This window comes from Homo sapiens, chromosome 7 (genome assembly GCF_000001405.40).
Source record: "Homo sapiens chromosome 7, GRCh38.p14 Primary Assembly".
Classification (NCBI taxonomy): Eukaryota; Metazoa; Chordata; class Mammalia; order Primates; family Hominidae; genus Homo; species Homo sapiens.
Genome location: NC_000007.14, coordinates 23651817 through 23656509, shown reverse-complemented (window position 1 = coordinate 23656509; position 4693 = coordinate 23651817). Strand labels below are relative to the sequence as shown.

Below are 4693 nucleotides of genomic sequence, written 5' to 3'. Positions count from 1 at the left end.
TAATGGGTAACATTTTTTTGAGTTCCCTTTAGCGCCTACAGGAGAAACAGCAGCCTATCTGGCTTATCTGATTTGCTAGGTTATTTTAAAAGACAGGTTTTCTGGTGCTTGGAGACATGGACAATAGACACTTGGGTGATTAACTCCTCATGAACAAGGCTTTGACTTTTACTATTAATTTAGTCTGAAATTTTCTAAATGTATGAGTCACTGTAAAGGTGTATTTAGAATTAGTATAGCTGGTTCTTTCCTGGTCCTGCAGGTACTTTAAAGCTTGACTAAGTGCATACAACTTATACATTTGAATAGACTTTTATTAAACACTTAGACTTTATTTTTCTAGTAACTTCTTTATTAATTACTGAACACCTGTTGCATTCTTTTTCCCTTAATCATTCCTGAAGAGGGTTTCTCCCAAGTTTGGCCGGACGTTTATAATTAGTTAAATCTAAACATGTGTGCTTTCTTTTTAGATTTGGATCTCTTGTTAAGAAACTTGCCACGTTAGGTGAATTATCAGTAGTTAATGTTAAACCATCCTTTTTAACAGAATAGCCTTATATACATGTAATACTTTTCTGGTGGTACATTTTAATATAAGTGACTTTAAAGAATTAAAAGTTCTTTTCTGGTGGATATTTTCACTTTAACATTGGCCTGACCACAATAAATGCTAGTGGATATATCAGCTGAAAGATTATCTACTACTTACTTAGGAAACTTAGCTGCGGGGATGCCTAGCTGCTTGGAGCCACGGCTGAGGCCCCGTATTACTTGGCCCCGGCAAAAGTAAGGTAGATGTTCCGTAATGTAGTCTGCTCGGGGCATAGGTTGCGGCCTGGCGCGCGTGTCCTGCATAGCCGCCGTCAATATGATGCCGAGACCCTGGACCAGCCGCGGGGCAGGAACATGAGCTTTGCCTGCCGCGGGGGCGCATTATAGGCTGGACGACACCGACAACATGTTGCGGCAGATCCTTGATGTTGGTAGCCCGGCAAAAACCACCTGGTGAATTAGGAACTTGGAGTCCTTTCAGAGAGGGGGACTTAGGCTGGGCCTGATAGGAAGGGTTGGGGGTATTAGGTGGGGGACTAGGGGTATTAGGTGGTGGATGATCTAGGGGATCCTGTGTGCTGTTTTCTTTGCCAGATCCCCTGAGCCCCTTCCTTCACTGTCTTTACAGTAGGGGCAGGTGCATAAGGGAAAAGGAAGGACAGGTCTTTGCTTCCAACAAAGAGCATAGTCCAGTTCTTCTTGAGAAACTGGGCTTTTATTATTTACATGTTGAATTAAAAGTTGACATAGCATCCCCTCAGTCGACCCAAACTTTGGCCAGAAGATTGAGGGATTGAGGATAGGTCTTTGAATCCAAATAGAACAGCAGTATTTTATCATTTGTTGCCTTTTCTTATGGTCTTTCATTATCTTCCCAACATTTTAGCATGAGATCTAGGGGCTATCAGGTGGCATATTTTTGTTACTATTCTTATCTTTTTTCATGGGATCTAGGGGGCTATCAGGTGGTATATCTTTGTCACTATTCTTATCCTTTTTGCTTGTAATATTTCCCATATTGGGTCTTGGCTAGCCGCAATCCCTCATATTAGGAATTTCTTGCCTAGCGGGGGGCTTGCTGTGGCTCAACCCCTCATATTAGGGATTTCTTACCTATTTGGGGGGTTCCTTGTGGCTCAACCCCTCATATTAGGGGATCTCTTGCCTATCCTTCACTGGAAGCTTTACTAAGGCTCAATTCTAACATATTAGAAATGTCTTGCCTATCCTTTAGCCCCACCTGCTGGATGCTCCTTGCATCCTTCTTTCACTTCATCTGCTCTGGCCAGGAACTTCCCTCAAGGGAATATTTCAGGTCCCTCTCAGCATTAATGGCAGGTCAGTATAAACCCCTGACAGGACTCCCTAAGCTGTATGAGGTGACCATGGAACCAGAGATTGGACTCACTCTGCACAGTAGTGCTTGTTACCATTCACACACTTTCATCCTCCAGAATGCCCTGACAACCATCCCGACCACCAAGGAAGTACTTTGTTGCCCCTGCAACGTTTCCTACCTTGGTCTGTGCACAGTTTACCTGGTCACTGTGGAATTGCAAGCCTCTCCTCCCCGCGTTGCTGGGAGTCCAGGTTTATTCATCACAATGGGTGGCTCTTGATCTCCCATCCCTGAGGCCACTGCAACAGGGCAGTGGAATGCATCTCCCCTGGGTAGGGTGACCAAAGACCCCTTCCCAAAGATGAATGGGGATCCTGGACGAGCCCCTAGAATTGCTGGATATAAAAATGCTCTAGGAATAAATGCTTGGTGCCGCAAAGTGAAACCAGCACTCAGACAAAAGTTGTCTCAGCAAGGCAATTTACTTCTGCAGAAGGGTGCCACTCACATCAATCAAGATCGCAAGAGCACACCAATGGAGAGCAGCAGGTTTTATTCCTGACACATAGTCCCTACTTCTGAGCCACTCCCCCATGGGCTGGGGCTGGACCGCATAATCTGAGCTGACCCGATTGGCTACTTGCAAATATTTTTCTAAATACACAAGAGAAGGGGGATGTGAGGTACAGTGGTGGAGCGTGTGAGACGTGCAGTTTTGGGGCAACAATGAGTACAGGTAACCAAGGGAACAGATGTGAGGTATTGATTAGAGCTGACGGGAAGGGGGTAGGCTGCTTATAGTAACTAGGGGCAAGGAAGAACAAGAAAGGTGAGTTTGAAAACAAAGGACAAGGAATTTAGCAGGCTAAATCTTTGAAGAGAAACTCAGAAATTCACTGTATCTTACAGAGAAATACAGAAAATAGAATTTAATAGAAAGCAAGAAAGGGAAAAAATGAAAGCATAAACAAGGATTGTGATATTGTGATTTATAATAAGAAATATATATTTGGTTTTCACCCCATCCTGTTTCTTGACACACAGCTCCAAAAACCCTTGCAATCTCTGAAGTAGTGTCTTTTTCTATGGTAAAGTTAATAGATGGGGGGTTTGGTTGCCAGGCAAGCCAACTATGTGATTAGAGGGTTGGGACTTTCAGCCTCACCTTCCCCACCTCCAGAGAGATGAGAGGGGATGAGGGTTGAGTTGATTACCAATGGCCAACGACATAATTAATCATGCCTACTTAATGAGGCCCTCACAAAAACCCAAAAGGACGGGGTTTGGAGAGCTTCAAAATTGCTGAACAAGTGGAGGTTCCTGGAGTGTGGTGCACCTGGAGAGGGCATGGAAGCTCTCTACCCCTTCCCACATACCATTGCCCTGTGTATCTCTTCCATCTGGCTGTTCATTTGTATATTTTTAAATATCCTTTTAGGAAATGGGTAAATGTAAGTGAAGTGTTACCTTCTGTTCTGGGGGCAACCCCAGCAAATTAAACCCAAAAAGACGGTCATGGGAACCCCCAGTTTATAGCCAATTGGTCACTGATTGGCACCTGAAATGGCACTGTATGGGATGAAGCCTTTAACCTGTGGGACCTGACATTATGTCCTGGTAGATCATGTCAGAACTGAACTGAATTACAGACACCCAACTGGTGTCTGCTGAAGAACTGCTTGGTGTGGGGAGAAATCACCCTCCCACATTTTGGTCACAGAATTGTTCTGTGTTGTATATGTGTAGTAACAGAAAAAGCTGTTTGTTTTCCTACATCAAACAAGGATAGGCCAGGCTCAGTGACTCACGCCTGTAATCCTAGCACTTTGGGAGGCCAAGGTGGGTGGATCACCTGAGGTCAGGAGTTCAAGACCAGCCTGGCCAACATGGCAACACCCCGTCTCTACTAAAAATACAAAAATTAGCCAGGCGTGGTGGCGGGCAACTATAATCCCAGCTACTTGGGAGGCTGAGGCAGGAGAATCACTTGAACCTGGGGGATGGAGGCTGCAGTAAGCCAAGATCAGGCCACTTCACTCCAGCCTGGGCAAAAGAGCAAAACACCATCTCAAAAAAAAAAAAACAAGAATAAAGAGCACAAAATAAGACAAGTAAATGAAAACGTATCAGTAATCACAACAAAGGTAAATAGATTAAGCTCACCAATTAAAAGAAAAAGAGTCTCAGATTGAAGAAATTAAAACATCTGAACATAGGCTATTGACACATCTAAAACACACAGGGGGAAAAAATTCAAAGGAAAAGGATGGGAAAAAAAAAAACAAGCAAATATTAACCAAAAGAAATAACAATTGTATTTTGAGATAGTATAATGGTATTCTGAGACAATTATTTTAGTATCAGACAAAATACACTTTTAAGAAAAAAAATCCTTATTATGGACAAAAAAAGTTACAACATGAGGATAAAAATCATTCATTAGAAAGATAAAACAACCTTAATATAATTTTTTTCCTTTTTACATTTTATAAAACTTATGAACATGTAAAAGAAAAAAAAAGTACAATGAACACCTAAAAATCAACAACTTAGGTAGGAGAATGCACCTTTTTCCAGATGTGTGAAGTATCTTGGAGTGAAATGTTATAATGTGTGAAACTTACTTTGAAACAGTTCAACCACAATTATAAAAAACAAAATATAGATAAATCAGGAAGATATTATGACAAACTGTTAACAATGGATGACTCGCATTATCACCTCAACACATAAAAATAGCTCCATAATTTCATCTCATGCTCATTCTATAAATTTCCCCATTGTCACCAAAAATATAAT

At 42.0% G+C, this 4693-nt stretch overlaps 1 annotated feature.

The window, feature by feature from the left end:
* Positions 875-1375: an enhancer, noted in NCBI's record as "H3K4me1 hESC enhancer chr7:23694754-23695254 (GRCh37/hg19 assembly coordinates)". NCBI's record gives its function as "activates a minimal SCP1, AML or CMV promoter by ChIP-STARR-seq in naive H9 embryonic stem cells {active_cell/tissue: H9 hESC(naive)}" and the evidence as "EXISTENCE:reporter gene assay evidence [ECO:0000049][PMID:30033119]".